We start from the raw sequence: 13165 nt of genomic DNA, 5'->3' as shown, positions 1-13165 counted from the left end.
TTCCACACAAAGATGATCCAAACACCACTGAGTTGCAGTGGAAAAGTACTAGCCTAAGAGTTGGGTTTTAGCTTGATTCAGAGGCTTTTCTTAGGTAAGTAATTTAACATCTCTTGGTCTGGATTTTTCTCAGGCATAAAATGACAAGGTTGCACTATATTATCTCTAAGACCTTTCCTCAAACCAAAACTCTATGTTTCTACGTGGTTATTCTCAACCTACCCTTTTGTAATGCATTCCTTCCAAAAACAGCTTGGTCTGTTTATAGATTTCTTGGCCTGTCTTGTGGAAGGTCTTGAGAAATTCTATGAACTCCTTAGACACTCTATCCGTTTCAATGCTGGTTTGCCGGTTTATGGAAGGACTGGGAGCTTTTGCTTCCTGAATTTCTGCTGGGAAAATTAAACATAGTAAGTTTCATGACATAAAAGATCCATGCATGGAATTACTTTAAGTATCTTACCTAAGGTTATTTAAATTATGTTTCATCAAAGTTAAACTTGAATTTAAATAATTTTATGTTTGAATGGTTGGACAACTTTCCTTAAAGTAAACTAAATCTGTTTTACAAGTAGGAAGTATGAGTAGACAAAACTACATTATCTAAAAGATATTCCTACTGAAATAAAAGTTGTTCTATTAGTATTTTCTTTGCCAAAATCTATCACACTTTGATCTATATATTCAATCATGAACACTGAAATGGCACCACTAGGCTTCTCAAAGACTGCTGGAGTTTATAAAACTAGTCAACAAATAGAATAACAATCAATAGAAGCACTGACATGTTAAATGACTTATAAATGTCAGACAACCTTTCCAAATCCCATTTTACTTGAGAAAAAAGCAAAGGTTAATGTGTTTATGTGGAGACTCACAATTATTTACCCACCATTTCGTTGGTGAGTCATACTGATCAAAGTGAAAGAACGCATCCAAAGTATTAATAGCATGATAAACACAACAAAGCATACAATGAAGAGACAAGGGAAACATGCACTACACTATCCCACCGGCTGGGCAGACAATTCTTTCCCCTCTTCAAATAAACACACTGAAAGGAAAATGGGACATTTACACAAGAGACATAAGGATGTTGTAACAGGCAGTAAGTGCTTTCAGAAAGTATGAACTACCACTTGGTCTTTGACCACATTCTAAGCCTCCTGATTTTGAACTATGCTCTCTAATGTTTATAAGGAAATTAAGTTCCCCATATCCCAATGATTTCCAAAACGAAAAAATAATTTTTTTAAAAGTATGTTTTATTTTTTTTTTGAGACGAAGTCTTGCTCTGTCGCCCAGGCTGGAGTGCAGTGGCATGATCTCAGCTCACTGCAACCTCCACCTCCCAGGTTCAAGCGATTCTCCTACTGAGCTACTCAAGTCTCCGAGTAGCTGCTCTCTCTACAGAAAGTAAGAACATTAGCCAGGCATGGTAGTGCATACCTATAGTGCCAGCTATTTGTGGGGGTTAAAGCAGGAGGATCGCTTGAGCCCAGGAGTTTGACGCTGCAGTGAGCTACGAGATCATCCCACTACACTCCACAGCCTGGGCGAAAGAATGAGACCTTGTCTCTTCCAAAAAAAAAAAAAAAGTAAGGTATGTACACTGTGCTATGTTTTATGTAAAATAGGGGGTAGTGGGATAAGAATATATGTGTTTATAACTCAGAATAAAAGCACAAAAGGATACACAAGAAACTAGTAACAAAAGTTGTCTGAAAGTGGGAGAAACAAAGCAGTGGTGCTTAGGAACTAGATGGGCAAGAGACAAACTAGAAAGGAAACTTCTGACCATACCTCTTATGCTAGAACCATTTGGATATACTATGTTTTAAGTACATAAATAAATCAGGTACAATCTAATTTAAAACAAAAAATGCAACATCTTTTCTAAAATATTTTTTATCTCAATGGAAAACCAAAGATTGTGTTGACATCGGTATGATTAGAAAAAAATTCTTTAGTGTTTGAAAGTGAATCCTTCTCTAATAATTCTGCTTCTAGTCATGATGGAATACTCTGATGGCATTCAGGTTTACTCTACTATCTTAACAACTGGAAGGTCAGACAAAAATATGAACAAAAGGTTTTCAGACACTGGATGACAGACAAACAGCAGATTAACTCCTCAAAGAAGGGAAACAAACAGAGTCTGTCCTAGAGTGTCCCAGCTCACTGCTGGGAGAGTTTTAAAGTCTTGGCACAGGGAGAGGCCACTCAAACAGAGCCTAGCTGACTTGCTGAATTGAGCAGATAGCATTTGGAGTTCACGGAGGCCAATGTGACCAGAATTTGCATGGCAAAATATCATGCAAACACTACGGAGGGGAGAGGGCTACATAGAAAAAGCTGCAGGTATCTGCAGAGGGTTCCCTTGAGTGTGGCTGACTACCGCACATGTGTATGAGGAAACTACCCAAGATGAGAGAAAAACCACCAAGTAACGTGTAGAACCACAGCACAAAGGATGGGAGGAAGAAACATAAGAATCCTGTTTAGGGAGGGGAACATCACACACCGTGGCCTATTGGGTGGTGGGGGACAAGGGGAGGGATAACCTAATTAGGAGAAATACCTAACGTAGGTGATGGGTTGATGGGTGCAGCAAACCACCAGGGCACGTATATACCTATGTAACAAAACTGCATTCTGCACATGTAACCCAGAACTTAAAGTATAATAAAAATAGATAAATAATAATAAATTACATTTAAAAATTCCCGTCTAAGATTATTTTATGTAAAGTGGTATAACACTACTGTTTTAATTTTTTTTTCTTTTTTCTATAAAGTGATATAATACTACTTGAAGGTAGGTAAGTTAAAGATGTATTCTGTAAACCCCAGAACAACCAGTAACAAAAACAAAACAGAACAAAGAGGTATAGCTAACAAGCTGATAGTGGAGATAAAGATGTGGTCATAAAGAAGGCAAGAAAAGAAGAGAAAAGGAACTAAGACAAGTTGGGATAAATACAAACAGCAAGATGGCAGGGGTAAACCTTCCCTTATCAAAAATCACATTAAATATACGTGCTATAAACAGTCTGATAAAATGTCAGAGATTATCAGATTAGGTTAAAAAAACAAGACCCCACTTCATGCTGTCTGTAAGAAATTAACTTTAAATATAAAAATACAAATATGTTAAATACTAATGAAAGGAAAAGCATACTCTGAAACAATGAAAAAGAGCTTAAGTGGTTGTACCAATGTTAGACGAAGTAAACTTAAGAACATGGACCATATTACCAAGAACAAAAAAGGGGCATCTCATCATAAAAAAGAGGTTCATTCTTCGAGAAGTCACAGCAACCCTAAATATATATATACTAATAACACTGCTTCAAAACACATAAAACAAAATCTGACAGAACTGAAAGGAGAAACAAATTCACAGTATTTGGAGATTTCAATATTCCTCATTTAGTAATTGACAGAGAGGTGATTTTTAAAAAGTCAGTAAAGACAGAAGACTTGAACAATGCTATCAACCAACTTGACCTATCTGACTCTGATAGAACACTCAACCCAACAAAAACATAACACTCCATCTGACAAAATAATAATGTTAGTAACTTACATATAGATAATGCCTATTATGCACTAAGTACTTTTACAATGTTATTTTGTATAATCCTCACAAGTCTATCAGGTTGTACACTTACAATATTTACAAATGAGGAAGCTGAGGCTTGAATATGTTAAGTAACTTGAATAATGTTGCAGTCACTTACATAGTAAAGAATGGAATTTGAACCCAGGTCTGTGCGCTTAAATCCAAAGCCTGAGCTGTTGACTATTAACAACTGACTATGAGGTAGTACAACTACCTCAGTAAGCCAGAGGACTGAAGACTCTTCAGAAGAACACCAACTCCTCTGACTTTGGAGGTCTGTACACCAGTCAAAACACAGGAAAATCCTACTCATTTCCTTTATTGCTTTGCTTACAACATGCCTCCCTCCCACACATACTTTTCCAAAGACACACTTTTGCTTTAAAACAAAAAAAACCCTTTTAAAATGTAAATGAGGATTAACTCTACTAGCTAGTTATGATCATACAAGTTACTAAAATCAACACTTGGTTGTTTTTCTCCAAGCTTCCTAAAAATCAATCCCTACTAAGAGGCCAGAAGTTTGGATTAGAGAGGGGAAAGTGAGAGACAGCTCAGGTGTTCGGTATGCAGGGAGGAGGCGACTTATGTTTGAACAGCCAATAGGGATTCCGTGTGTAAGATGAAAGAAGTGAAGAAGTAGGAAATATGGAAAAGAACAACCTCATCCACGTTACAGTTCATAATTTTGGCTAGGGCTCAAACAGCAAGTGCTTGCTCCTAAACTTAAAAGTCACCTTGTGTTTTTGGTGTTTTTTTTTTTTTTTTTAATCAGGGTCTCGCTCTGTCACCCAGGCTGGAGTACGGTTGCATGATCACAGCACATTGCAGCCTCAACCTCCCAGGCACAAATGATCCTCCCATCTCAGCCTCCCAAGTAGTTGGGGCTACAGGCACTAGCCCAGCTAATTTTTTAATTTTTTTTTCTTTTTTTAAAGATGGGGGCCTCACATTGTTGCCCAGGCTGGAGTGCAATGGCACGATCTTGGCTCACTGCAATCTCCACCTCCCAGGTTCAAACAGTTCTCCTGCCTCAGCCTCCCAAGCAGCTGGGATTGCAGGCACGTGCCACCACCCCCAGCTAATTTTTGTATTTTTAGTAGAGACAGGGTTTCACCATGTTGGCCAGTCTGGTCTCGAACTCCCGACCTTAGGTGATCCACCTGCCTCGGCCTCCCAAAGTGCTGGGATCATAAGCGTGAGCCCCTGTGCCAGCCGTATTTCTCTATTTTACTAAATTAACACACGGATTATGATTTTTGTTCAATCAGTTATACTTCATTTATTGTCCTTATTTATAGATTTCTTCATTTTATTTTATTTATTTTTTAAGACGGAGTCTCACTTTGTTGCCCAGGCTGGAGTGGCACGATCTCAGCTCACTGCAACCTCCACTCCCCGGGTTCAAGCGATTCTCCTGACTCTGACTCCCAAGTAGCTGGGATTACAGGCGCACACTTCCACACCTGACTAATTTGGTATTCTTAGTAGAGACGGGGTTGTGCCACGTTGGTCAGGCTGGTCTCAAACTCCCAACCTTAGGTGATCTGCCTGCCTTGGTCTCCCAAAGTGCTGGGATTATAGGCCTGAGCCACCGTGCCTGGCCTTATTGTCCTTATTTATTTTGACATTCAAATTATCCCAGACTTGGCCAGTGGAAACCCCTCCAAGCTGGCTTCTGGATCTTCTGAAATGTCCCCAAAATATTGAAGGGGCCCTTTTTTCCCTACTCTAGCCCCAGAATCAGTCACTTCTCCAAGAAGCCCTGATTCACTTTAATGAATAATAGGTTTACTTTCTAAGGTCTGGGTGGTATTGGTATTTTAACTCTAAAAATGAAAAGATATGCTTTAGAGAATCACCGTCTTCAGATCCGTTCATGAAAGAGGTACACAAGATTCTACTTGGAATGACAACATTATAGGAGTTCTGAAAGAAAAGGGCACTTTGGAATGTATAAGCAAGTATCTCAGCTTGGTCAACCACTATGACTTCCTCTATACAGCTCACTCACCCTGACTGTAGAGACTAAAACACTTTAACTGAGTCTTTACAGTCAAGACATTCCATTTACTTTCTCTGAAGGCGTATCCAACTCTAAAAGAATGTGAAGATATTCTTCAAATTCCTTAGAAGGTTATTTGTATTTTGTCTGCTACCAAGCTGCTACGTATGGCATAAAAACTTTCCTTTATGCTACTAACAGAAGCAAGTAAAACACCAACAGCAAGGGTATCATGGACTAAGGAAGATTCAAGAATACAGAATCCAAAAAGTCTGTTTCTAGTCTAGACCTAATACATTAAAACGGCACTTAGGCTAATCTTATCCAAACACAATGGCCAAACAAAAGTAATCAGTGTGAAATGCAAAATTTACCTGGCTAAGTTATATTAAGTGATCTGTGAAACAAAGATACAATGGAATCTTCTTTTCTAACATGAATTTTTAAAATACTTTAAGGTCTTTATCCCCAAAGCTTTCTACAGACAAAAAGCAACTAAAGAACAAACAATCTAAAGTACAAATCTATCATTCAAAAAGATGGGGGATGAGGGGAGACAAGAACAAAGGTAAAAATCATTCTGCATACATATTTTTAAAACAAAATTCACCTGGATTCTTTATTAATTAATTAATTTTTTTAATGTTGGTGTCTCACTCTGCTGCCTAGGCTGGAGTGCAGTGGCACAATCAGAGCTCACTGCAGCCACTAACTCCTGGGCTCATGTAATCCTCCTACCTTAGTCTTCCAAGTAGCTGGGATTATAGGTAGGTAGAAGCCACTGCACCCAGCTCCAGAAATGTTTCTTTTTAAAGTACAGACTCTGCATTGAATTGTAAATTTTCTTTCAATAGTATAATGCACACTGTACAGAGGCTTTTGGGACACAGGTTTTTAAAACCACCAAGGAGAGTTAGCAAATATAAATGACAATTATGTACTTAAGTAACAGAAACTTAATTTCATATATATATATTATTTATGATATATATTAAATAACCTGGGCTTCTGAAGTATACACATTGGATAAAGGAATATAATGGAAAAATATTGACCCAGGAATTAGGAGACATGAGTTCTCATGCACAAACTCATTGTGCAACCTTGGGTAAATTAGTTAACCTTTATGGACTTTCACACTGTCCTCTGCAAAATGAGGCTATTGGAGCTGATAATTTTATACTTGTTTTACTATTTCATCTGTTATCATAAATACTTATCATTTCACTACATATCATCAAGAAACAGACCTTAAGCTAAATAGGAATGAGTATTCTTCATAGCAAATGCCCTTGTGCTCCCTGCAAGATAATTCTATCAGAAGAATAACTTGCATTTTAAAACAGCTAACACTTACTGGAGATCTACTGTGTGTGTCAGGCACTGTGCTAAGCTCTTTACATGCATTAACTCACTGAATCCTCATCACGTGCCTCTGGTAGGTATTATTGTCCCTCAGTGTGGACAGGACTCGGAGAGGTTAGTCTGTCCAAGGTCACAAAGCTGGTAAATACAAAGCTAGGGCTCAAACCAGGAGTGACTCCAAAGTCACCTTACTACCTGGCTATTCCACCTCCTAATAAATAAATCATGAGCCCAATACATTCTTATTTAATCTCTGGCAGGTACTAATTTTTCCCCCCTTTTTCGTAGAGATAAAATTGCTACAACTGGCAGCCAACCAAGAAACAACTTCAAATTAATCATGTAATCAATCTTTTTTCTTTTCTTTCCTTTTTTTAGACAGGGTCTTGCTCTGTCACCCAGGCTGGAGTGCAATGGCACGATTTCGGCTCACTGCAACCTCCTCCTCCTAGATTCAAATGATTCTCCTGCCTCAGCCTTCTGGCCTCAGCTGGAACTACAGGCACATGCCACTGTGCCTGGATGATTTTTCTATTTTTTGTAGAGGCGGGGTTTCACCATGTTGCCCAGACTGGTCTCAAACTCCTGAGCTCAGGTAATCCATCTGTCTTGGCCTCCCAAAGCGCTGAGATTACAGGCTTGAGCTACCGCACCAGGTCTGGTATCCATGTCTTAAAGAGAGGTGTGTTTTTGGTTATGAGCAATATTTCCTTTTAATAAAACAAAAGGAAACAGCAAAAGTCACAAAACCTAGAAGACCAGCAAGTATCTTAAGAAGTAACACTGTCTTATTATTCATTCCCCGGCCTTCAGGGGAGACCTCATTACAATTACCCCAGGGTAGGAACTGGGGAGCAAGTGAGGGGGCTCCCAGAGAACAGGTCTTCTGACAGCATCAGTGTTGGTTCCCAGTCTCCCTCATTATTTCGCTTTGACTGCATAACTCTGAGTACCAACATAAATTTTCAAAGACAGACTGAGGCCTAACAACAAAGAGTCTTTCTTGCTTCATGTTGGGCCACTTCAACTAGCTAGTCTGCTCAATGGTAGAACAACTGTGACTTAAGTGACAATCCTCTTGCTGGTTATATGGCATTTTAAAAAGCAGGGTGAATATGATCACCTACATACAAATCCATGCACTGGAAAATAGCTACTATGGCTCACTTTCATCCCCCCAAGAGCCCAACTTGGGCCTTTTCCTATATGTTCTCAATACACTTCCTCAAGACACAAGCTGTCTCTCAAATAAGCTCTCAGGCAGAAAATCTCTCTCTCAGATGACTATCAAGCCTAGAAATCACCATTTCTGACAAGCTATGAACAGTGAGGGTATTATACCACAGAACAAACCAGGATCCACAAATAAAGGCACAAAAACCAAAACATCCAAAGAGATAGTCATTTGGATGGGGATGAATTTCATAAGCAAAAGTACCTATTTCAATTCTCTTGATTCCTCCTATAAACAAATTTCTCTAAAACACAATGTCTTTCAACCAAAGAGAGTATTGATTTCATATACTGTCTGACCCTCAAGCCCAATTTCAGTGTCAAATCTGAGCTGATGTTCTCAAAAAGTTGACAGAAATTACAAAGCTGAGCTTATGAGCATTGGGGATCTCCTCTGTGTCTCACTCAGGCAGAGAAGAAAAAAAAGAGTATCAGAACATTACCCTTCTTTGATCCGACCCTGGAAGATGCACTGAAGAATTTCTTCACTGTGGTAACCTTGCGGGTCTTCTCGTTGGTTTTCTTTTCTTCAAACTTGGAGAATGTGAGGGATTGGGCCCCTTGGCTGCTCTGACTGCTGGCAAAGGCCTCTTCTTCCTCCCGCTGGAGTCTGCAATTCAAGAGAGGATTAGAATGACCTAGATATTCTCCAAGGTTTCTCTGTATGTGAAGGTTATTACTCCATTAATTCAGGAGGATCTAAAGATTTTAGACCTAGAGACTAAATATGCCAAATCAGTCTGAGGTCTCACATTGCTACAGGATGGACGGCTCTTCATGCACTACAGATTTCAAATGGGGTCTTCTCATACTCATTCAGCTACTGCTCTAGGGTTACATGAAAGAAATCAAGTCTAATCCTTTTCCCTAACAAGCTCAAGGCTGGAACAGACAAAAAGGTAAGTAAACAACTGCTACAGAATGGGACAGCTGCTACATCAGAGAGTAAAAGTTGAGTGCTGTGAGAACACAGGAAAGAACAACTCAATCTGCTGGGGGAGTCTGACGAGGCTTTACAACGGTGATGTTTGGGTGAGGTCTTAAAGGATAAATAGGATCCTTTTTTTGGTTGTTTTTGAGACAGAGTGTCACTCCATCGCCCAGGCTGGAGTGTAATAGCATGGTATCAGCTCACTACAACCTCTGCCTCCCGAGTTCAAGCAATTCTCATCCCTCAGCCTCCCAAGTTATTGGGACTACAGGCGCACACCACCACACCTGACTAATAAGGCTGAATAGGATTCTAAGTGAAAGGACATTCCAGAAAGAAGGAACTACAAATGTGCAAGCCTGTGGTTTGCTTCACAACAAGCTGAATGTAGCCAGAGCACTGGGCGTGTGATGAACTGTGATGCTGGATATACAGGAAGGCTCCAGAGGGTAGGGAATCTTGATTGCTGAGCCCACTATTCTGGATTTCATCATGTGGTAGGGAAGCAAGAAAGACTGTAAATCCAAGGAGTTATCGCTGTCAGATCTGTACTTTAGAAAGATCATGCAGGTAGCTGTGTGAACAACTTGAAGGGTAGAGAAACTAGAGACAGGAACAAGAAGTAAGAGTATATTATAAAGGTTTAAGTAAAAGAAAATAAGCACCTGGAAAATAGGAGTACAAAAGGTAAAATTCAAAAGACTTTTCTGAGTTGGAAGAAATAGAACTTGGTCAAGTTGTAGCTAGCATGGGAGATAAAAGAGAAATCAAGAATGAAACCAAGGTTTTTTAGCTAACTTGGTAAGTAGTGATGCCATTAATTGACTCAGGAGAAGGGTTAGGAGGAAAATGTTCAGAATGCGGAGAATAATAAATAAAAGCAATAAATTTGGCTTTGGATTAGCTGCATGTGAACCACCTGTATTAATTCCCAAACACAGGCCAGGTGCAGTGGCTCACGCCTGTAATCCCAGCACACTGGGAGGCCAAGGCGGCCGGATCACTTGAGCTCAGGAATTTGAGACCAGCCTGGGCAACATGGTGAAACCCTGTCTCTACATAAAATACAAAACTTAGCTGGGCATGGTGGCATACTTCTGTAGTCCTAGCTACTTGGGAGGCTGAAGCAGGAGGATCACTTGAGCCCAGGAAGCAGAGGTTGCAGTAAGTTGAAATTGCACCATTGCACTCCAGCCAGGGTAACAGAGCAAGACCCTGTCTCAAAAACAAACAAACAAACAAAAAGCACAAGCACTATCTAAAAGACAATGATTTTCCAAGTATGATTCCCCAGACAGCAGCGCAGCATCACCAGGCAACTTGTCAGAAATGCAAATTCTCTAGTCTTACTCCCAAGCCACTAAAATCAGAGACTCTGTGGGTAAGGTCCAGCAATCACTGCTTTTACAAGCTTTCCGAGAGATTTAGCAGGGTCACAATTAAAAGCAGTAAGAAATAGAAACAAAAATCACAGGTGGAGGTGCTAAGTCTGAGGGTGGAATCGGGACCCCTCTTTCTCTGGGACAGACAAGAAGTTAATATAAAGGTACTAGGACATTTTTATGTGGTGAGGGGAGGAAGCTGAGGGAGTTTGTGCCTAGTGGCCTCTACTCTGTTTTTGAAACAGGATCTGCTACTGACAGCATCAGGCATGCAGTGGAAACCCTGAGGAGATCATTCATGTTCTCGGCTAAAATTTTCTCTCTTTGATTGAACACAGTCACTGAAAGCAATGTGTAATTTCTAATTCTCTGAGTTCACTACAAATGACAGCAAAGGAGTCACTCAACAAATATTGGCTGACTGGATGAAAAAAAAAAAACAAACAACTAGCTAGAGGAGTTGGCAGAATTCCATTTGACTTTCTTCTGTTGAAGCAGTTTTAGAATTCTAGAATGCTCTGGCAAAGAATTAACATTATTCATGGCATTTTATTAGTTCCTATGCTCACTAGCCATCCCATCATTTATTTATTTATTTATTTATTTTTTTTTGAGACAGAGTCTCACTCTGTCTCCCAAGCTGGAGTGCAGTGGCATGATCTCAGCTCACTGCAACCTCCGATACCTGGGTTCAAGCAATTCTCCTGCCTCAGTCTCCCAAGTAGCTGGGATAACAAATGCGTACCACCATGCCCGGCTAACTTTTTTAATATTTTTAGTAGAGAGGGGGTTTCACCATGTTGGTCAGGCTGGTCTCGAACTCCTGACCTCAGATGATCCTCCTGCCTCACCCTCCCAAAGTGCTAGGATTACAGGCGTGAGCCACTGCGCCCGGCCCATCGTTTAATTTTTAACATCATTATATTTCCGGATAATACCAAATGCTAACCTAATTTTTAAATATAAGTTAAATTTCTACAATGCAATGACTATGTATACAAGTCAACAGATTTCTACTACTGTGTTTTATCACTGAGCTAGATGCCATGCTAAATATATATTAAAAGAATGAGGGAAATAATGCTTGATGAGTGCCATTTCCAAGCCCTGCAGTGGGTACGTCAAATTTATTAGCTCATTTAATCTTCACCAGGAAATATGCCTATCTCCATTCTTCCACTCCAAGGAGCTTATTGTCTACATTTGAGAACTAAAACTAACACAACCCAAAGAAAATAATCAGAAGACAAACACAAAATGAAGAAACTACTGAAAGCTGTTCATTAAAAGCTGACTGAGAAGAAGAGAGGAAAACATCCTTTTCCTTAATATTAAACTGACTTGCTGATAGCTCAAAGCAGAAGTGAAAAAATGTATTTAGACGGTGACAGAACTATGTATCCAGTCACGTCACTGTTCAACCGCCCCTAGTTAAGTCCTTTTACCGCTCCGCCAGCTCCCAGTCCTCCTGAATCTGCTTCTGCCTGGCTTTGTGGTACTCTTCCCTCCAGCACTTGGAGCAGAAACCCTGCCAGGCAGGGTTGCCGTAGTAACCACATCCTTTCTTGCACAGGAGATCCGATTGATCCACATGAATTCCTCGGCGTTCAGACTTAAGGCTCATCTTCTTCCTGCTAACCACTGAACAAACAAGAAAGTGCTGTTGAAAATGAATTATCATTCTACTAAATAAAATCTTACCAATTATGAACAAAAAGTGAGTGATTCCATTATCTTCAAGCTGTTAAGAGAGGGATGGAGGGAATGAAGGAGGGAGGGAGAAAGAGGAGGAAGGAAGAAAAAAGAATGTTAAATATAGTAAATTCCTGACACAGCCATATTAAAGAAAGACTTATTCCCTGCCCAAAATAAAAAATAAAAAATAAAAAATTAAGAAAGGACTCACATTAGATTAAAGACCTAAATGTAAAGGCTGCAAACTAGAAAACTCCTAGAAAAAAAACTTAGGGGAAAAGCTTCCCGACACTGGATTTTGCAATGACTTCTAGGATATGACACCAAAAGCACAGGCAACAAAAGCAAAATCAGACAAATACATTATATCAAACTTTAAAATGTCTGCACAGGCCGGTGTGGTGGCTCACACCTGTAATCCCAGCCCTTTGGGAGGCTGAGGAGGGCGGATAACAAAATCAGGAGATTGAGAGTATCCTGGCTAACACGGTGAAACCCTGTCTCTACTAAAAATACAAAAAAATTAGCCAGGCGTGGTGGCGGGCGCCTGTAGTCCCAGCTATTCAGGAGGCTGAGGCAGGAGAATCACGTGAACCTGGGAGGCAGAGCCTGCAGTGAGCCAAGATCACGCCACTGCACTCCAGGCTGGGTGACAGAGCAAGACTCTGTCTCAAAAGAAATAAAAAATTTTTAAAAATTAAATATCTGCAAAACACAGGAACCAACTGACAGGGTAAAAAGGAACAACACACAGAATGGGAGAACTTATCTGCAAACCATATATCTAATAAGGGGTTAATATCTAAAATACGAAGGAACTCCTACAACTCAATAACAACAACAACAACAACAACAACAAACCCAAATAATCCGATTAACAAATGGGAAAAGGACTTCAATAAACAATTCTCCAAAGACATACCAACAGCC

At 39.9% G+C, this 13165-nt stretch overlaps 1 protein-coding gene across 40 annotated transcripts in view; it reads right to left on the bottom strand.

Moving 5' to 3' along the window:
• The window catches only part of RABGEF1 (RAB guanine nucleotide exchange factor 1), a 156898-nt gene that overhangs the window by 27401 nt on the left and 116332 nt on the right, over nt 1-13165 (bottom strand). For 20 of the 40 annotated variants that reach the window (NR_160287.1, NM_001367727.1, NM_001367725.1 and 17 more), the window contains 3 exons: nt 11986-12181; nt 8671-8837; nt 223-389 (listed from right to left, as the gene is read on the bottom strand). The exons of 1 other annotated variant lie outside the window; for it this stretch is intronic. Coding sequence is in view for 32 of the 39 variants with exons in the window: in NM_001287061.2 (NP_001273990.1) it covers nt 223-389; nt 8671-8837; nt 11986-12181 (530 nt within the window). In the remaining 7 variants the exon portion in view is untranslated. Of the gene's footprint in view, nt 1-222; nt 393-8670; nt 8838-10236; nt 10374-11985; nt 12182-13165 lie in introns of all 40 variants that reach the window. 19 more of the 40 variants (NM_001367752.1, NM_001367737.1, NM_001367738.1 and 16 more) reach the window with 8 other exon arrangements.

This window comes from Homo sapiens, chromosome 7 (genome assembly GCF_000001405.40).
Source record: "Homo sapiens chromosome 7, GRCh38.p14 Primary Assembly".
Lineage (NCBI taxonomy): Eukaryota > Metazoa > Chordata > Mammalia > Primates > Hominidae > Homo > Homo sapiens.
The sequence above is the reverse complement of the archived record's forward strand: the minus strand, read 5'-3'. Positions and strand labels throughout refer to the sequence as shown.